Raw genomic sequence first — 22,145 nt, forward strand, 5'->3', positions numbered from 1 at the left:
CACATAATTATCTCTCCTCTCCTCACCCCCCCACCCCCAACACATAATGTATATTCTGTAAAAAGTTCTCTCTGGAGCTCACTAGACCGACTTGTAACTGCTGGGATTATGATTTGTTGCTTGTAAGATGATGGATCATGGAGCAGTAAATCAGCCAGTCAACAAATATTGCCAAGCACTGTCCCAGGCTGGGGGAATGTGGCAAACAATACAGACAGATGTAATCCTTGTGGAGTTTAGGATTTGGAAGAGATGAGAGATATTACGCAAATAATTTCAAGCATGGTAAATGCCATTAAGGAGAAAGCACAAGATGCTACGGGAAGAGACAACAGCAGGATGTAAGATAAACACCTCTTCCTTTATTTAAATGTGCCAGGAAGATAGCTTTCTCCTGATTGTCCAGTGCTGTTTTTAGAATTTCACTGCTTCCTTTTCTTTTCTTTTTTTTTTTTTTTTTGAAGGAGTCTTGCTCTGTTGCCCAGGCTGGAGTGCAGTGGCGCGGTCTCGGCTCACCGCAACCTCTGCCTCCTGAGTTCAAGTGATTCTCCCACCTCAGCCTCCCCAGTAGCTGGGATTACAGGCACGGGCCACCATGCCTGGCTGGCTACTTTTTTGTATTTTTAGTAGAGACGGGGTCTCACCATGTTGACCAGGCTGGTCTCAAACTCCTGGTCTCAAGTGATCTGCCCACTTCGGCCTCCCAAAGTGCTGGGATTACAGCCGTGAGCCACTGTGCCCAGCCCTTTTCTTAATTCTCATATCATATGTCTGTTTGAAGGACAAAATATTCACTGAAACTATTATAAGCTGTGATCAGAATGTTATTCAACTAATTTAAAAATCTTCATAATTCATGTAGAAAGATCAGCCTTGCCTTTCATGAAAAAGAATTTCATATTCATTTCATAGAAAATGAATTATTTAATTGGGAATTTTAATATTTTGGATATTTGCTTTAAATTCTCTGTGAGTCAGTCTGTTCAAAAACCTCAAGTGGGCCAGGCACAGTGGCTCACGCCTGTAATCCCAGCACTTTGGGAGGCCGAGGCGGGCGGATCACGAAGTCAGGAGATCAAGACCATCCTGGCTAACACGGTGAAAACCTGTCTCTATTAAAAATACAAAAAAAATTAGTTGGGCTTGGTGGCGGGCACCTGTAGTCCCAGTTACTCGGGAGGCTGAGGCGGGAGAATGGCCTGAACCCGGGAGGCAGAGCTTGCAGTGAGTCGAGATCGCGCCACTGCACTCCAGCCTGGGCGACAGAGCGAGACTCCATCTCAAAAAAAAAAAAAAAAAAAAACACCCTCAAGTGAATTCTTGATTATTCTAATAAAGGGAGAATTGGCATAAATATTTATCCAGTGAGATTGGGTTCAAGTTCCTCCAAAGAACACTGGGGAAATTAAAATTGGTAGAAGTTTCTCAAAATGCAGCACCTGCATCAGCAGCCTCAGCATCAGCATCATAGGGGAACTTGTTAGAAATGCAAATACTTATAGCCCACTCTCAAACAATTAAATTAGAAACTAGGGGTGAAGCTATCAAGCTGTGTTTCAATAACCCCTTCAAGTGATTCTATGCATGCTAACGTTTGAAAATCACGGGCATAAGGCTTAAGATCATGGTTTTGAAATCACACAGATCAAAATTGAACTCCTAGCTTTCCCACTTAGTAGCAGTATGACTATAGATAATTTCTTTATTTCTCTATTTCCTCATCTGTAATATGAGCACAGTAATAACTGTCTAACTTCTAAGTCTGACATAAGAACTAGATGAAGCAATGCTTATAAAGTAAGCACAGTAAGTGTTTAAAAAGTATCAGCAGTTATTTTTAAGAAGTTTTAGCTGAGTTTCATCTATGCGACTGGCCTAACGAGAGTTATTGACCTTGTTTACTTGCAGGAAAAAATGGAACTAAATTTGTTTCTAATAAGGTGAAATCATGTTTACGTCGGCAGTGAATATCAAAACCTACTCAGGCATCAGAGTGAGCAATGTACTTCACAGACTTAGAAAAACCTCAAAACTAAGATATATAATCAAGAGATATCCTTCAGCTGCCACACTGGGAACACTGGGTTGAAAAGCCGCTCTCAGACTAGGTTTTCAGGCTTCAGTATCGGGGATAGGTTTGACCTAGACCACTTCTGTGACATTTGCCTGAGACTTGAGATGAGATTTTGTTGCTGTGCTAGCTCAGCTGATACCTGTCTCCTTAGGGCTCTTTATCTGAACCTTTCCTAAGACACTGATCATCTCTGCCACGTACTGTAGTTATTTATGGGCATGCCATTACTCCCCAGCTAGATGCCACCTTCTTGGGACGGGGTTCAAAGCAGAGTCATCTTCATAGCTCCCTCTCTCCTATCATCAATGTCGAGTCCCTGGGAGAGGATTGATGTTTTTGGAATGAATAAACGAGAGAAAGCATGTTTTTAAACCTAAACGCAAAGCTGAAATAATTTAATTCATACTCTTACCACGGCAAACACTCACGGTAAGAAGAGAGACAAGCTGTCTTTTCTAAAAGTGAAATTTGATCCTTATCATGACCTAGAAAGGCAAAGGAAGCAAGTGGATTTCACCTCCTAAATTGGCAAATTGCATGTGCTGTTCTTATTAAGCCCTGAGCCATTTCAGGCCAGGACCATGGAAATATACTTACCTGCATTTCCATGATCCTAATAATCTCTTAGGACCATGGAAATATACTTACCTGCAAAAAGGATGGCATTTCCTTGCCTCCTTATACCTTAAGTGTATTAAGAGAGTCAACAGAAATTACATTAATTTTTATATTTTAGGGTATAGAGCAGTATGTTGCACATAAGAGAAAATTTTTTTTGAGCAAATGAATTTTTAAAAAGTACTGCAAAGCACTTAACTTGGCAAAGTAAGAAGAAAGCAATCAAACAAATATAATAAGATTATTTATTTATCACTTTCATCTTAGATTCTAGACATTTCAGCTCTCTTTCTTACCCAAGTTGGAAGGCTGTGTGCAGAATCTGAGAGGTAAGAATTAGAAAGTCCTAAGGAGGAAAGAGTTCACATCAGAAACTCATCTTCCCTTTCCCAGGGAGGTTGCTCAGAGGCCAGTGGAAGTGCCTTGCTTAAAAAGTTTCTATTGGCAGCACAGTGTGTTTTCAGTAATAATTCTGGTCATTCTTTAAACTCTGCCTAATGTTATTTTTCTTAATTTAATTTTTTGAATAGGTGTTACATTGATAGCGTTCAAAAATTTTAAAAAGGCATCCAGTAGAAAATCTTCCTCACGCCCCTACTCCCCATCTGCCTAGCTCACCCGTCCATCATGCCCTATCCATAAACACTGTGGTTAGTTTTTTTTATGTGTCCTTCCAGAGTTTCTTTATGTCCATGCAAGTGAGCACAGATACTACACATATTTTTATCCTATCCTTCTAATGACAAGAAGTAACATACTGTACCAATTATTGCATACTTTGCCTTTATTACTGGATACATCTTAAAGATTTTCCTACATCAGTGCATAAAGAATTTATTTTTGTTATATCTGCATAATAATATTCAGTTATAAGATTATATTTACTTTATTGATGACAATTTAGATTATTTCCTATTTTGACACAGAATCATTGCTGTAACAAATAATTTTGTGAATAGTGCTACATATTATGAAGGAACAGTTTTAACTCGCTATCTCTAAATTTAGGAAAATTAACTTGATATTAGGCAAAACAAAGAAAAATGATACCAATATTCTATGCCAGTATTAATGTTTCAATTACTTGATTTAATTATTCTAATATTCTGCCCAAATCTTCTTATTCACATACTTAATATACCACAACATACAAGTGCAGGTAAAATTATTGGAGAAAATGTCAGCATCACAAGGTTTCTGATGGACCATATTGAAAATTGTTTTCTCTCTGTGGTCTACTCTGTGTGCTATTTACTCCACACATGGCTTTACTCTTGATTTAAAACCAATCTCCCCCCTCCAAATGTTTCTCCTGAGTCTTCCAATATTTCTGTTTTTGGCACTAATATTCACTCAATTGCTCAAGTCAAAAAGCCTGGCAATTATCCCACGTTCTCTTTTTTCCTCACCTGCAATATCCAATCCATCAGCAGAGTCAATAAATCTTGAATGCGACCACTTCTCGCCACCACCACTGCTGCTACCCTGCCCTCATCTCTCAGCTGGACTCCTGAACTGGTCCTCTTGCTGCTGGACTGTTTCCATCTGACCCCACAGTGCTCTCCTTAACAACCAGAGGAAAAGGCAAATCCGATTACATCAGTGCCCTCGGACCAGCCAGCCAAGATTGGATCCTACTTTCTCATTCATCCTGGAGTCAGAACCTCCTCCTGCCCAGCCACACTTGCTGTTCTTGGAACTTACTAAGGCTTGTTCCAACCTCACAGCTTTGCAGTTGCTGTCCCTTCTGCCTTCCACCAGAACTCCTCGGCCTCTTTTCATATTCAGGTGTCAATTCAAGCATCACCTCCTCAGATGGGCCTCCTGATTACATCATCCAAAATAGGCCCTCCTTTGCTTTATCTTGTGCTAATTCTGTTCAAAGTCCCTCCATCCCTTTATCTCGTGCTAATTCTGTGCAAAGGACTTATTGCCAATTATGGGTATTTTTCTATGTTTGCTGTTGTCTCTCCAACTAGAATGAGGCTGTTCAGGAAACCCTGGGCTTTCTCCACAACTGCCACATTCACAACATTTAGAGTAATGCCTGTCACATGGTAGGTGTTCAACAAATATCTGTGAAATGAATGAGTAGATACAAAATAAAATATTGTTTAACCGTGTAAACTTTCTGGGTAATTTTGGAAATGGCTTCAACTCATAGAAATGGTCACCATCCAAAACAATTTTTATGATTTCTGGGTAATGCCCCATTTTAGTGTGTTTAGGAAAAAAGTAATGGTGTGGACTTAGGCAGATCCGGGTCTCAGTTTTGAATATATATGTCCTTGGAATTTTTAAGCAAATTGTTTAAACTCTCTGGAAGTTAGTTTTCTCAGTTAAAAAATGAAAGTTTGAATTTTGTGAGCTCAAATTATTTTTAATTATCTATTAATTAAACAAGTATTTACTGAGCATGTAGTATGTCCTAGGCATTTGGGATCGCTGGTGAACAAGACTGATGCCATCACTGTAAGCTTACAGCTTAGTGAAGGACTCGGGTTCTTCCAAATGGTGAAACGTGTGATAAAGAGAGGCACATGGTACAATGGAGCACAGACAGGGACCCTGACTAAGTGTAGGCTCTCAGGGTAAAGACAGAGGCTGTGGCTTGAGATCTGAAAGATAGTTACGATTAACTAGGCACAGAGGGGTTGGGAGTCCTGCCAGTGTAAGGAGAGAGGCATGTTCTAAGAAGGGAAACAGGCCAGTGTGGCTGCCTGCAGAGAGTGATAGGGAGAGGTAGGCAGGGGCTAGCCTGTGTCACTCAGAGAGTGGTATGTGGACTGTGAACTGTTTGCTACCTTACTGGGGATGAGGCAAGTATAAAAATTGGAAGTCTACATTGTAGAAATTTTTGTAGCCATTTCACAAAGTAATTTTATGTTTGTTAAACTAATAATAAAATTGGGCTTGCATTTTGTGTGACTTTTTCCATTTCATTTATTTGAAAAATTAATTGTTATTTTCTTTATAAAATCATCAATCTGCAAGGAATTGGACATTAAAAAAACAAAACCAAACAAAACCTGCCCTTCACCATCGTTTGTGTAACCTTGCAAGCTAAGTTAAAGATTTTGGTTTTCATCTTATGAGAAATAGTGTAAACTGTAGCAAATGCTCATGTCACTAGCACACTAGTTTGCTGTTTAAATGGGGGAAGTTTTAGCCAATAATTTTCTTTTCTATTGTAATTATTTAACCTAATATATCAAAAATTATCATTTCAATATGTGATCATAAAATATTATTAATGAAGTATATATTTCTGGGACTAAATCTTTCCAAGTCACTCTGTATGTTAAGCTTCCAGCACATCCCAATTTAGGCAATGCATTTGAATGCACAGGTCTTGTTTCCCCACTTTTATTTATGTTAAGGTTGATCAGTGGGTCCAGGGACTATCTGCCTGTTCCTTTCATATAATTGTTTAACATTTGCCAACAATTCTCTTTACTTCAGTAATAGTTGAGTAAAACCAGTTTGCACGCTTACAGGAAGCCAGATTGTGAGCCTTTGGGTGGGCTTATATGCTCCTGCATCACCAGAGCCTACTTTATTACAGAGAGAAGCTCAATAATATTTGCCAGATTAAATTACAACCATAATTCAGAATAGCCATTCTCAACATTTTCAGCCTGTGATCCAACTGGGAACACCTGTACCCATCCCTTTTGGAGGAGGTCCCAGGAGACAAAGAGCCATTTACAAATGGCTGAGGGTGGGGACTGAGAGAGTGCTAGGGCCTCTCGGGGACACACACCCTTCCTTCCCCACTTAAGCTTCAAACAATGTGTCGAGGGGCCTTTAAAAACCATTTACAACAAATGGTGGGTAGGCAGTGGACAGCATTTAAACAGTTGTGTATCTGAGTTACAATCTCAACTCTCCAACTGATTCTGGATTGAATTTTAAGCATTTTCCATCATTTCCTGCAAGCAACCATCACCTACCACCGGAAGCACAGTTCTGTGTTAGATCTAAAACTCAGTGATTCTTATAAAAACCCAGCAGTCCCTTTTGATGTGACAGAGAAAAATTGAGGGCAAAGACCTAGAGTTGGCTTATACTCATTCCATTTTATCACATAAAGAACAAAACTACTGGAGCACAAGCCCCAGTTTTTGCTGAAGGCAATTAAATCCTAACCCATTCCAGCAAAATCATCAAGATCCAGGCTTGAAGCCCCTCCATGCCATTACCTTTCCATACATTCTCCTTAGTCTGATGACTGAAATTTGTAAACAGCTGTCCCTGTCATTAGTGTGAGTTACTGAGAATCCAGCTGTAATTCTATTCTTCTTTTCTAACTCTGTTAAGTTATATCCAAAAAGGGAAACATGTCAGGCCAGTAGGGCTCACATGATAATGACTTATTCCATCAAGTCTCAATAATCTTCTAATGAAGAAAAGTACCGGCAAGGATTACCTAAACCAAGGGATAATCCTAAGTGACATGTTTAGAAACCCTGATTTTTTTTTAAGGGATTAGCTCTAGCCTCCCAAACAGTTAAAAATCAGGTTGCTTCCCTAGCTGACAGCAGGGGGCAGCAGATCAGAGTCAGTTCTGTGCAAGTGGTTTCAAGGATGGAAAATCTGTGATGGAAAAATCCTCAAAGTACTTAAATCTAAATATAGAAAACCTAAAAGTTGATTCCTCATTTAAAATTTATTTGACAAAAGAGTAGAGCTAAGTATAAAGAATTTTGCATTTATTTTCAGTCCATATTCTGTATTACATTTATTTTACAGTTCATATTGCATTAGGTTGCATCTTGTGAAGTTGCCATTTTTTTTTTTTTTTTGGTAAGTCAGAAGCTGTTAAATATTGGTAATTTCATAGGATTAAACCTTATAGTTTGGAGCAGCATTTAGATATAGAACTACTCTTTAAGTATACACAAAGAACAGGCACATGTTTGCATTTGGCAACCGCCCCTGGTTCAGAGAGATGATTATGAGTCCCTGTGGACGTTAAGATCAGTTCCTGCCTAATGCCCCTGCCCCTGCCTCTTCCTGCTCCCTAAAACTGGGATCATGGATAACCTTCAACTCCCATGACATCTTTTCCCAAACCAATCACATCTCCAGTGTCAGTCACTCTGTCCCCACCCACGTTTTTTAAATCTGTCCCGGTGACCTGCGTAGACCTATCTTGCTCTTTCTGGTTCTCTTGTTGTTTATCAGACCGGGACATAGCTGGGGCTAAAACCACGGGCTTCCACATATTCCCCTTCCTTTCACACTCCCAATTTTGAAAACAAGGTTTTTATGTCTGAGTTGCCAAGCCTGAGTGAGCTCTTAGTCTGTTTTGTATGTATTTTTCAAAGTGTGGTTCCTGGACCAGAAGCATCAATATCACCTAGGAACCTTTTTGAAAACAAATTCTTCGGCCCCACTCAAACCCACTGAATCAGACATTCTAGATGTGGGAGTCTAGCAATATGAGCTTTAACAAGCTGTTCTGGTGATTCTGATGCCTGCAGAAGTTTGAGAATAACTGCACTAGGTCATAAAACTGTTTCTCTTTTGATTTTTGTTTTCTGTTATCAACTGCTTTGTATACCTTATTCTTTTTTCTAGACAGTGTCTAACTTCCTTTCCAGAGGCTTAAAGTTCAGCTTAATCCTAGATTAGTAGCTGCACTCCTGTTATATATGGAATAACTTCCTAGTAGCAAAATTCCAACTTCCTGGGATGCTGATATCACCCAGTCTGGCTTCTGCAGTGCTAGCCTCTGCCCACATGCTGGAATCCATGAAACTGGCCAATGGTGTCAGTACAACTGAAGTTTGTGGTGCTCCATGAATATGGTGCTTTGCCTACCCACAGAAGTCTCTTATTGATTGGCACTACCCCTGAGACTTGTCCTGTACTATGTCTGGTCTTTCTCTAACTTACTAGGACAAAATAACCATGTTTGGGCTTTAAATATGCCTCATGCTTTCCTGGTTGTTGAAATCCTATTTGAGCAGTTAAAACAAGAGGAAATGTTAGGATCTGTCATTCAAAGTGGATAATTTTACTCTAAAAATGGTCCAAATATTTGGTGCTTTTTCTAAAGACATTTTATGCTTGCTTAAACCTTTCATCATTTTTATCTCTGTAGCAACATGGAGGTAAAGGAAAATGCCACCTCATACAAATGTAAATTTTGAGAAAGAAACGCTACTATTTAAGCACAGTTTTTTTCAGACAATCCCTGTTTGCTTATTTGTCCATTTCTCCACTGGATATTGAGTTCCTTGAGGAAGGAAATATTTGACCTGTTCAGCCTTGTATTTCCAGCAGTAGCCTATAAGACAGTACATACCTAAGAAATGTTTAAGAAATGAATAAATTAAAAAACACACACACATACACAAACCCACTCACATACAGAAATAAATGATACATTTCTCCAACTTGTCTAGATTATTAAATGTTTTTCAAATAAAAAATGAATTCATTGCATTTGACCAAGATTTAAGCTGAGTGTCTATTGTTGTGTTCAAGATAGAAGGCTAGAGTCGAATTGGTGCCAGTATTGGGACCTCTGTCAATAACGGACCTGGCAAAGCTACTGTCCTAAGAATGCAGATCATCATCACATCTCAGGAGGCAAAGGCCTCAAAGGACATCTATTCAATCCATTCCATTTTTTTTGAAGGAGGAAACTGAGGACCACAGAGGTGAAGTCAATTTCATAAGGTCACTGAGTTGGTTGGGGGCAGACTTGGAACAGAGAGCCCAGGATTCCTGACTTTTAATCTCTTCACGGTCTGCTTTCGAAATAGCTTTTTGCAATTATTTATAATGATAGAACCACATTGGAAAGTTTGACTTTTTCCCAAATACTTTTTTTCAAGATTATAAATATCTTAGAAAAATGACAAGATGCCTGAAGCCGTATGTTCTGATGTATTTAAATTATTCTTATCTGTTTCTTTTAAGAGAAACTTGCTATAATTTTTTTTCTAAAGAGGTTCAAAGAGGCAATGTTTCCAAGCTTACAAATGAAAAATTCATTGGATACAGCACAGCCCAATTAACTCGAATGTTAACCAGAGGGTTCCTGAGATGATCAGTTAAGTTCACATGTATCTAAACTCAATTTTCTTTAACTTCATTTATAATGAAAGAAATAGAAATAAATACAAGTTATCAATTTTTGTCTATCAGATTGGCAAAGATTAAAAAGTGTGACAGTGTTTTTGGATGGCAGATTGCTGATGGAACCAAACTTCTAAATGCATATATGGCCTTCTATCACTAATTTCACTGCTAGTTATTTCTATTAGTGATAAAATTAGAAATGTGCAAATATTTCTATGTACAAGGATATGTTTATCCTAATCTTATTTAGAGTTATAAAAACTAGAAGCAACATACCTGTCTATAAATAGGTAACATATCATATATATACATTATAACCCAGTAAACAAAACATTATGCAGCTATTTAAAAAGATAAATTATATTTATATTTACTGAGACTGGAAGATCTCCAGGACATAGGGAGCAGGGGAAAAATAGGGTTCAAAACCTCAGGTATAGTATAGTCCTTTTTACATAAAGTTGTGTGTGTGTATGTGTATGTGTGATTATAAAGAGATATATGTAAGAATACCTTTTAAAATATTGACAGCAATTACCTACGGTGAATTTGAACTGCTTTTTATTTTGCTGTTTACGTTTGCTTGAGTTTCATATATGAGCAGGGATAAGCTTTAAAATTAGACCAAAAAAGTCCCAAACAAAACAACCCTACCTCCCCAGAAAAGATCTATCTTCATGTTTTAAACAAAATAAAGGTAAATAATGTTTTAGTATTGCCAAATTCTGCTTCATGATATTCTGAGGAATGGGTACTAGGCAAATGCATATAAGACATTTCAAAAGCCACAAGAGATAGGATTTCAAATATTGTTTGATTTGATTCTTATTTAAAATTGGAAAAATAAAAGTTAATTTAAGCTCTATTCACATTCTTAACTTTTTTAAAGATACCTTTGATGAAGTAATTCATGGCCCCAGACTTAAAAAAATTAATAATTATTTAAATTGACAAAAATTGCATATATTTATAATGTACGATATGATGTTTTGAAATATGCATGCATTGTGGAATAGCTTCATTAAGTTAGTTAACATATGCATTACCTCATATATTAGCAATTTTGTGGTTAGAACACTTAAAAATCTACTCTCTTAGAGATTTTTGAGAATACAATACATTGTTGTAACTATAGTCCTCATGGTGTACAATAGATCTCCTGATCTCCTAAATAACTGAAATTTTGTATCCTCTGACCAACATATCCCCAACTCCCTCCAGCCCACACCCACAGCCTCTGGTAACCACCATCCTGCTCTCTGCTTCTATGAGTTCAATTTTTTTAGATTCCACATATAAGTGAGAGCACATGGTATTTGCCTTTCTGCACCCGGCCTATTTCAGTTAACATAATGAATGACCCCTGACTTTGATCCACATATATCTTGAATTGTTTTTAGCACTGATGGCTGCTCTGGACCATGTGTGTTTGTCCTGCCCATGTACCTAAGCGACTCTTGTTACCAGGAAATCGACAGCCAGTCATGGAAATGATTATGGCCACCTGCTGCGTAAGTGCTATATGCACATGTGCCTTCTGTGCCAAAGCTATCATCCACAGCACCAGCTCATGCTGCTAATGCTGGCATTTTCCAGGGAAGCTTGTCCTAGATGAAGTGACTGGAGATAATGGAGTCATATACAATTCTCTTTTTTTTTTGAGAAAACTAATTTCAATACCAGTGAAATTTCTATTGCTAAAAAGCCAGCACTTTAACTGAATTTTTAAAATTCTAAAAGACATTGGAAACTAGTCTGAAAATTGGAACTAGGAACACTGATGAAATACAAATGGAATTTTAACTGTTCTGGGTAGTTACATCAAAAATCTTTACTTTTCCTCTTCCTATTTCAAGGTTCAGCAAGGAAGTCAATGTTTTTGGTGACAAGTGAGTGATGGGGAGAGAGGCAGGAGCTCCATTAACATTTGTTGAATGAATGAAGTTTCACTTTAAATTAAAATTTTGCAAGCATCAGGCTCACCTGAAGAGCCTCACCCTCAGATATTCTGATTCAGTAGGCCTTTGCAGAGTCCCCAAATTTGCTTGTAGGTGGTGCTGACCTGCTGGTCTTAGGACCACCTTGAGTAGCACTGCTTTAGATTGCAGTCTGTTCCCTATGTTTGAATTGTGACCCACTCTGACATGCCTGATGGCAGAACACTTCTCTAGCTGGGAAGGTTGTGCCAGGACTCAGAAGACCCAATGGGACACAAAAGAAGAAACGGATATCCTCTCTGACAAGCCAGGCAGATCTGCCGAATTTGGCTTGGCGATTGATGAGCAGAGCAAATGCTCCAGCCAGCTTGCTGTTACGTCCAGCCTGCACCAACTCTATCCAGATCAAGCAGGTTGGCATACAATTCATGCATATGAATAGCTGCTACTCTGGAGGATATCTTATATGTATTTTCATAGAGTAAAATTTGCATTTACATATAGCACATTTCTGCACAAGTGGATATGGCAAGATCTATGTATACATATGGAAGGAAGGAGGATTGGAAAGATTATGTGTACTGAACCAGGGATTAAGCTAAATGTCTGTTGAATAAACCAGGCTATTTAGGGAAAAGAAATGGTAGTGAGAACTATCATTTATGAAGCCTCTGTTATGTACCATGCACTAAGAACCTTCATGAACATTGTCTCAATTAATCCTTAGCACAAATGACACGATAAGGTGGACACTGTGAACCTTATTTTGTGGGTGAGGTCTCTGAGTCTCAGAGGTTAAACAACTTGCCTAGTAAAAAATGAAATTACAGAATGGCAAACCTGGAATTTGAATTCAGTTATTGTTTTCAAAGTCTATACTCTCTCCACTTTATTTCCATTGACATAACATCAAGCAAATAAAAATTATCTAACCAGAAAATATTATTATGAATCTAATATCAATTTGTATTCCCTATGCCGTTTATTACTCTCCTTGTTTGGGTTTTTGCTGAACACACAAAAGGGCTCAATACTAATACTCTAATTGTTTGGAAACTATAATCTCAAAAATATTGATTTCCTTATGTGGTAGCATTTGATTGTATTAATGTATTTTAAAAAGCATTTTCTTTTTACTAGTTCAGTATCATAAATTAGAGAGTCACTGTGTTTATGTGCCTTCCTGTTATAAATGGTCAGATGTCAATATTAAAGCATTTTGGATAGAAAAGGACCTGATTTTGGCAGAAATAACTTGGCCATGAATAAACCCAGAAGTGAAACCAAGCTTATGAAGGCCTGTATGATCTTTTCATTATATGAGAATTAAAAAAAAAAAAAGAGTTGCATGCAGTGTAGTGGCAAAGGGGCAGAGGGGCAGACTTACTCGAGTCCTGACTTACAATATGAAACATGCTACCCTAGTCACAAAAATGATACTTTTGAATAATTTATAATAACATGGGAAAAAGGCACTGTGTAATGCTATGTAAAAAAGTTTCAGAATTAAAGTGTACATGCAGTGTGACTTCAATGAAAGAAAACCATATACACAAAGAAAGAAAGATTTGTAGGAGCTACAACAAACTAGTAGAAATGACTGCATTGTGGGATGTGCTTATGGATCATTTTTGCTTTCTTTTCAAAACTTGTAAGTATTTTCCTGTTGCTTATTTTCTACCACGAGCGTATATATTTCTGTTATTTATTTTCTACCATTAGCATCTGGGCCACTGGGGCCTCCACCCCATGCGGGATGTGCTTTTGGGTTATTTTCGCTTTCTTTTCAAAACTTGTATTTTTCTGTTGTTTATTTTCTACTATGAGCATATATCACTTTAATAATGAGAAATACATGTTTTTTAGAGTTAACCAAGTAATTCTTTTCCTATCTATAAAAATTTGCAGGTAGTCACAATTATTTTGGTAGTTGCATGGTTTGAGTGTCCCCACCAAAACTCACGTTGGAACCTTGATTCCCAGGGCAGCAATGTTGCAGGTGGAACTTTTAAGAGGTGGAGCCTGATGGGAGGCATCTGGACCATGGGGCCTCCACCATCATGGGGAGCTTGATGCTATTCTTGTGATAGTGAATTCTCACACATGGGACTGGATTAGTTAGTGTGAGAATGGGTTGCTATAAAGTGAAGTTCCTCCTCATTTTGGCTCTTTCTTTTTTTGGCATACCCACTTTCCCTTCTGCTTCTCTGCCAGCTGCATGAGGCCCCCACCAGAAGCTGAGCAGATGCCAGCACCACGTTTCTTGGACTTCACAGCCACCAGAGTTGTAAGCCAAATAACTCTCTTTTCTTTATAAATTATCCAGTCTCAGGTATCTTGTTATAGCAACACAAAACGAATCAAGACAGTAGCTGTCATCGCAGTCCACTGTATGTTGTATGTGTGTTTCTGTCGGTGTGGGTAAGAAGGAGATGGGGATAGGGTAGTGAGAGTGGTGGAGTTGAGCCAAATGATTCCTTACTGATTATATTTTTCTCCTGTCATTATTTTCAAGGGTTCTGGAATCAGGTTCATATGCTGTCAATGTACTTTATTTTTCAAGGTGCAATATACTAATATATGTCAGATGGGATTCATCTATGTACTTGAACATGTGGAAGACAAAGGAATAAAAGAAGTTTCTACATATGTAAGAGAAAACCTATCTCTTGGATTCTTAGAAAATAAAGTGAGTTAATAAACCCAGTAAAATAGTGCCTGGCATTTAGGAAATGTTAGCTATTATTATTTCATCAAAAGGAGCTGCTTTTCATTTTAAACTTAAGCTCTGGGTCTTATATTTTCTCCTTTATGTTGATTCTGAGTAACTTAATTCTGCCCTGTTAACTTTCCAGATAAACCTTCAATTTGTAAAGGAAGCTGAGTTCTGAAAAAATGAGGCCTTTGCTAGAAGGGCTGGACACAATTATGTGTAGGTACCCTAGAGACAAGGGACAGGGTGCCATGTACCTCTCCAAGAGCCTAGTCACCAAGGAGAAGAGTCAAGCAGAGCAGGGATTTATGGGGTTCTTGAGCCACCAGCCTTTCTCTGTTGAGCTCTCTTTAGCATCACCTTGAAAAGCTTAACCCTTTACTCCATGGCTATCACCACTATCTTCAGCTCTGAGATTTAGTCTGGGCTTTCTGAAAAGAAAAGTAAGAGGAATACATTTGACAGCTTACATGACAGCATGAGTAACCTTTGCTACTCGTTTATATTCTAGGTATATAAAACTATTACTAAACTGAGTGAGGTTGGTGAATTATCTTGTACTAAAACAGAATCAGTGGGGTATTAGAGTAGCATAATCAGTCAATACGTTTATTGTGCCCCTCATATATATATATATACATATACAAGGTGCTAAAAGAAATAAGAACAAATGTATATAATTAGAGCCTACCCTTAAGGAGCTTCAGGCCATCTTGTGTGATGGAGTTTACCATGTTACAAAAGTAAAAAGTTCATATTGTTTTATATTTAGGGAACTGCAGATGAAATCCAAACAAAGTGTGGAGTCTACTTAATAGTAAGTACCAAAGGACCAAGGTTGGTTCATTAGTTGTAACAAATGTACCACAGTAATGTAAGATGTTAACAGTAGGAGAGACAGCATGCGGGGTACATGAGAACTCTGTGTATTATCTTTGTACTTTTCTGTAAATCTAAAACTACTCCAAAATAAAAAAAAAAGTTTATTGAAAAAAATAGCCTCTGAGAAGCACTGGACATTTTTGCCTGCAAGCACACTTATCATCTTTCAACTCTGGCCTCCTTTCATGTAACCATAATAATATAATGACCAATCATCTTAATTTTATTTCTCCAGGAAAGACCAGTGTGTTCCCTAGTTCCAACTACACAGAACCTAGGCTTTGGGGTTTCCCTTGCAGTGTATATAGGACACATGTAGCCTCATGAGGTAGAAGTCAGGTCAGCTCTTTGGCTTGGGGAAAGCAGAATGTCCTAATTTTTTCTGAGTACCTGCTTGTAAGGATTTGGTAACTCTGGAACCTTAGTTCAAGAGTTTTGGTATTATTTGTTAGGACTACCCAATATTAACCAGGTTTTGTGCAAGTGGGACAGAAAAGAGGCAGAGAAATGTTTCTCCTGTGTGAAATGATAATGTTGTCTCCTCTCTGGGCTTCAGTTTCCTCATCTGGAAAGTGGGGTGGGATCCACCAGTTCTAGCATTGCTTGGCAGCACCACCTCTACCATCTCCACCTCTACTTCCAGCGCTTCCATCGACTCCACCACCTCCTCCATCTCTACCTCCACCACCACCGTCACCACTACCTTCACCACCTCCAACATCACTCTCACTAACACCATACAATTATGGAACCAGAAGGCATACTAAATATTATAAAAATGGATTCTGATGAGGTAAACATCTTAAAGGTAAACTCTGCAGAGGTGAACATACAAAATGCGGCACACCTTCTCAAATGGAGATTCATAGAGATAAAATTGCTCATGTCATCTAGGCAAGAAATTCTTCCTTTCATCTATTAAAATGTGGGCTGGCTGATTACCCTTTTTCCCACTAGGTTCAATGGAGTTGAGATGCTAATGAAGGCACCCTGTCCATTACTAACTTACATAGATGAGAGGTTAGAAGGTATTTAATCTGTTAATCCCTTCAAAATTGTGCATCTGCACAAAAGGCCTTGAAATCTGGTTACTCTGGAGATTTAACAAGAGCTGTTTAGTATAATTAGATCAGCATGATGAATACAAACCTCTAAACTATCATTTAACACTATGGTGTGCAAGGGAAATAGCGTGTTTAACAAAACTGTCTGCATCCATCCACTGGGGTTGGCATTATAAGGTTCATTAACTTATCCACACAAAATAAGAGTTTACGGGAAAAATATCACAGAGGAACACAATGAAAAAGATAACTATTTTAAGTGAGGCAAAGGAACTCTCAACATAGACATGCCTCAAGGAGAGGATGTGAATGTTGGCTATAACCTGTAAATTCCTTTCTTAAAGTGTTCCAAATTTATGGATGACATTACTTCATTTTGGAAACTGACTTTGGGGCATGCTGCATTTTGTAAATGCTTTAAGACCTGCAGCTGCTGCTTCCTGCAGGGTGTGAGACCAGTGCTGGATTGTCTTAAGCCATTAGACCCCAGTCTTAAATCTCTTCTGGAGTTCAGTGCACCGTCACTTACTGCATTAGAGGTTAAGTTCTGAGGCAGCAATTGTCAGAAGTATTTTCTTCACAAGGAGCATAAAACACGAGCCCTGAAAGGATGACCTGGTCTAGTAAATGGCTCAGGGGCTGGGAAAAGACTGCATCATGCTGCTGAAACTCTGCCTCACAAATTTATGCCATTTGAATTCCTTTGGGAAATTCACTGCACCTAAAAATTACACTTCAGTATCCTTGTCCTGAAAATTAGACTTTCTACATGGTCTTCACTTTTGATTGAGTAGGCATCCTTTGAAATGAAGATGCTTACTGAAGAAACCAGGAGTGATCAGCTCTGAAAAACAGGATTGATACCTCTTATAAGACAGTGTTGGTAAAGCCTTCTCAAAATTCTTAGTCCAGTGGCTCTCAAAGTATGGTTCCTAGACCAGAAGCACCCACATACCTCGATAACTTGTCAGAAGTGCAATTTCTCTACTGAATCTAAAACTCTAGGGGTTGGGCTCTGTAATTTGTATTGATGGATATTCTTGAAGTCTTAAACTAAAGCAAGATGTTCAGAGGGTTCAGAAGAGAGGAAATAAAATAGGTCTTGGGAATTAAAGCTTCAAAGAAAGTCTGAAGCAAGTGGAAACTGGGCTTTAGGGGTAATGTATGTGTTAACTACAGATACATAGACTTCTGGGCCCAGAGGAGAACTTAGAACATATAGCCCAGTTAGGCCCCTCATTTACAAAGGAGCAAAGTCAAATGATTTGCCAATTCACATTCCTAGACTTCTTCATTACCTAGAGCCAAGTGCCTCAATTAGCATGTTCATAAGCCATAAAGAGGTTACAGCTGTGCACTCAGGCCCCCCCACTGAGTGAGCAGACAGGTGTGAATAGCCAGGTCTCCTTGGTGAGTGTCCTGAGAAGAGCAGGTCTGGTGGTGTACATCATGCAAAGTTGGAAGACATGAACCCAGAGGAAAGCCAGAGAAAAAATGAGTTGGTATCATTTTGATCAACTTATGGTCCTATAAATGAGGGTGGATAAAAATAAAAGGAAAGTTATATGATGACAGCCAAATAGTTCTCCATGAGCACATCCTAGAAATGCTGACATAGGGGCTCCTCAGCATTACATGAGGTGCAAAATTTTAATTTATTTTTTTACCAGAATTTCAGGAAGAGGGATGGACTATGTGCTGGTTCTTGTTGGGTACTAGTCAGTGCAGGTGACCTGATTATGCTTCCTAGGGACTGTGTGCAGAGGGAACAGTCAGACACAAGGAGCCTGGACTTTGCAGACAGGGAAGTGGGCATGGCAGCATGGCATGGATGAGGAAGGGGTGGATGAGAATGAAGCTTGGAGGAGAGGAATGGGTAAAGAGAAAGAAAGAGATGGAGAGGTGGGAAGAGAGAGAGAAAGCTGGGAAGAGAAAGAAAGAGGTGGTGAGAGAGAGAGAAGAGTGAAATTGAATTGAGCAGTTACTGTGTGTGTTGGGGGGCGCTGGGGGATGTGGAGACGTTTAATGAGATGGAAAGAGACCTACAGAAGGCTTTTGAGAGACTTTCTGCATGAAGTGCTACGGGATCCCCTTAGTTGCCACTATCAGGAAACTTCATTAATGGTCTACGGTTTCTTCAAAGCTTATGCCATCTGGCTACTGTTTCTTTGAAATGGTACTGCATGAAGAGAGAACCATGTGGGGCTCCAGTTATATACTGGACATAGAATACTCTATACAGCATTAATTTACCTCTAAAGGAACAGCAACCCATGCTCCACTTTTGCTCTGCCTGTATATTTAGAGCAAGACGTAACTCCTTAAGAACAACATGGATCCAATCCTCAGAGGCCTAATTTAGAGAAATGTCTCCTTCATTTATTGAAGCTTAAATAATACATTGGTACAATAGTGTGAACTTACCATTTTAGTCCAAAATAAGGATCTTCTAGCACGAAAAGAGAAATAAGTGACCTTTTACAATGTTGAGAGGTTTTAAAAATGTAAGAAACAGGAGGGGAAGAGTCTTGAGCTACCTCTTTTTCCCCAAATCATTTAATGAGTGCTTAACATGTGCCAGGCGTTATGGTAGGCCAGAGGTAGAAAAGATGAATAAGATATAACCAGCGGTCTTTCACTTTCAAGAAGATTGAAATGTAACAGTGGCAGACGCAGTGGATAAAATACAGTGCAAATAATAGCAAGTGATAGAAGTATGTGAAGGGTGGGGCACAAGATTAGAGCCATTTATTGTGCGCCAAGCTCTACTGTAAACATTTTAAAATTTGTTTATTTTATTGTGTTAAAATATGCATAATATACATTTACCATTTTGCCGATTTAAACATGTACAGTTCAGCGGCATTTATACGTTCACATTGTTGTGTGATCATCTCCACACCTTTCCCCCAACTGGAATTCTGCAGCCATTAAACAAGAACTCTTGCCCTTCCCCTCAGCTCAAAATTCTCTACGAGGTACTTCATATATATGGAACCATACAGTATTTTTCCTTTTGTGTCTGCATTATTTCATTCACCATGATGTTATAGTAAGCGTTCAACATTCAGTACTTCATGTAATTCTCAAAATAACTTTATCAGGTTGGTGGCATTTCCCCCATTTCACAGATGAAGGGACTGAGAATCAGGGAAGGTATTTGTTCAAAAGTCACAGTCAATAAATAGCATAGTGTGAATTTGAACGCCAGTCTGTGCGATGCCAAAATCCAAGCTCCTACCCACAACATTGATTAACCTGGTAGAAAAGAGTGAGTAGAAAACTTTCCAACACAGCTCATACTAGTTATAAGAATAGAATATTTCTCACTTTGAAAATGAGATTATTTGGCCAGGCCCAGTGGCTCACGCTTGTAATCCCAGGATTTTGTGAGGCAGAGGTGGGCGGATCACGAGGTCAGGAGTTCGAGACCAGCCTGGCCAACACAGTGAAAACCCGTCTCTACTAAAAATACAAAAACTAGCTAGGCGTGGTGGTGGGCGCCTGTAATCCCAGCTACTTGGGAGGCTGAGGCAGGAGAATCGCTTGAACCCGGGAGGCGGAGGTTGCAGTGAGCCCAGATCGCGCCACTGCACTCCAACCTGGGTGACAGAGTGAGACTCCTCAAAAAAAAAAAAAAAAAAAGAAGAAAAGAAAAGATTATCAGCTTTTCAAAGAAAAGGTTGATTGGAGGAAGAGGATCTGGATTTAAAGTTCACTCTGCTTTTTACCACTGGAGGAAAAGCTGTTGCCGTCTGTATGTACTTCTAGTCTATTGAACCCTTCCAGAAACTGGCCTCCGGACTGAAATTAATTGTGACAGCCCTTTCTGCATCTTCTCCCAAGAAGCCTGGGCCTCATTTCTCCTCCGAGGGCTCCTTTTCGTGGCTGCTATTTCTGCTGCTTTGTTTTGGAGCACTTTGCACCTGGAGCCTGAGGAGGGCCACTCCGAACCCGATGTCCCTCTCGCGGCTGTTCTGGCGTGGGATGTGTCCGCAGTTGCCAGAGCAATGACAACACTGCGGGACCGCGGAGGCGGCTGGGCGGGGCTGGAGCCTGTGACCGCGCCCGCTGCGCGCATGCCCAAGGCCCCAGCGCTTCTGCAGGGCAGTGGCACCGGTAGGCACTCGGAGGCGCGGAATCTCCTTTATCTTGAATTCTTTGGTCCTCACCTCCCTCCCACTGCACCCGGATTCCCTCTCTCGACCCAGGCGCATGAGACGGATGGTTTCTTCCCAGGACTCTGCCTTCACTGGGACGCACACATGGAAGACAGTGGACTGGGACAGAGTTCACCTGTCAACTGAGTCTCCTGTATACTCGACCCTGCTCCAGCCCTTCAAGGCCAGCTGCCTTTTGATGGGAACAGGGAGTTAGCATGTGTGGTGACCTGAGCTAGAACAACCAAAGGACGCAGCTTTCAGATTGATCTTTTCTTCCTCTCTCCATTTTGTCCTCTTAGGTTACATATAGTAGACATAATGGAAAGGCCGTATTACTTTGGCATCAGGAGGCCTGCGTTCCAATTCTGGCTCTGCTACTTATGGGCTATGTGTCCTCCAGCAATGCAGTAATGTCCTCTGAACCTGTTTCCTTATCTGTAAAATGGGGATAGTAACAATACTAACATCCAGTGTCGTTGTGTGACAATCAAATGACGTAACATATACCAAAGCACTTGCAAAAGTAATGAACTATATGAGTTGAATATTATTGTTGTTATTATTATTTTACTATATTTACTTTTAGAATCCTGCTTACTTTCCTATTTATGGTAGATGAAGATTGCTCTGGATTTCAAGCAAGCATCTTTATATTAGGTTAGCGCTATCATCAGCATTTGCACTGTATGAACACTATGCCCTGTATGGCCAGCAGCCACCTTGGCAGTGGGGAAACAAATCATTCCATCTCTTAGCACAGAGATTCTTATTCCTTGTATAAGTGAGTGAATTGCTCATTTGTTGCACAATTAATCACATCTACTTCCTCATTTCCTAAAATGAAATCATCTAATGAATTGGATGAATAAAGAGGAAAACTGGCTTTTAATTCATTTATCCAAAGTATTTAAATGTGTAATAATTAGCCTGCAGTAAATTATTGTGAGGAGAACAGAAACTCATGTCCAATTAGTCGAATCCTTTCCTATAGAATTTAGGTATGGAAATTCAGTTTCTGCTCACTGGAAGCTAACTTTCTGGGAAGCTGAATGTGGTCTGCATTCTGTGTGCAATGTTTTATTCCACCACGTGGAGAATCACAATAAGACAGCAGAGGCGGTGAGCACTAAGCACGTGACATCTGTGGCCCGCTGCTGTCATTATATATGAGAGAGAAAAACAAGGCTTGAATTCTTAGATGCTCAAGTCAGACAAAGGTCTCTTGAAGGACTCAGTAACAATTCTCAACACAATGCTTAATTCTACCAATTGTGCTCCATCTCCTTTTTCCTTTCCACATCAGCTATTCAAATTCCCTGGGTAAAGCAGAAGGAAGCAGGACCAGATAAGGCTTCCTGGTAAAACTGGGTAACTCACACATTGAGGACAAGTGATGCCTACTCTCAATGGGGCTCTCTCAACAAACTTGCCAGAAGAATATGCCCTCCCCCCCCCAAAAAACTGAAAAAGTTTATAAACTTATATTCCACTCAAATTACAATTAGAACAATTTATGAATTCAAAGGCTACTTTTTAATATAGAAACAGGTCATCATGATGTCCGGGTAGTTCATCAGGAGCCATTACAAATTTTAGGGA

The 22,145-nt window shown here is 39.4% G+C and overlaps 1 protein-coding gene across 36 annotated transcripts in view, besides 1 other annotated feature; it reads right to left on the minus strand.

Moving 5' to 3' along the window:
- The window catches only part of PEX5L (peroxisomal biogenesis factor 5 like), a 241,980-nt gene that overhangs the window by 127,051 nt on the left and 92,784 nt on the right, over positions 1–22,145 (minus strand). The gene's annotated exons all lie outside the window — the stretch shown is intronic.
- Positions 20,308–20,387: an enhancer, noted in NCBI's record as "active region_20873". NCBI's record gives its function as "activates an Ori minimal core promoter by ATAC-STARR-seq in GM12878 lymphoblastoid cells {active_cell/tissue: GM12878}" and the evidence as "EXISTENCE:reporter gene assay evidence [ECO:0000049][PMID:35858748]".

This window comes from Homo sapiens, chromosome 3, assembly GCF_000001405.40.
Source record: "Homo sapiens chromosome 3, GRCh38.p14 Primary Assembly".
In the NCBI taxonomy this organism is placed as follows: domain Eukaryota; kingdom Metazoa; phylum Chordata; class Mammalia; order Primates; family Hominidae; genus Homo; species Homo sapiens.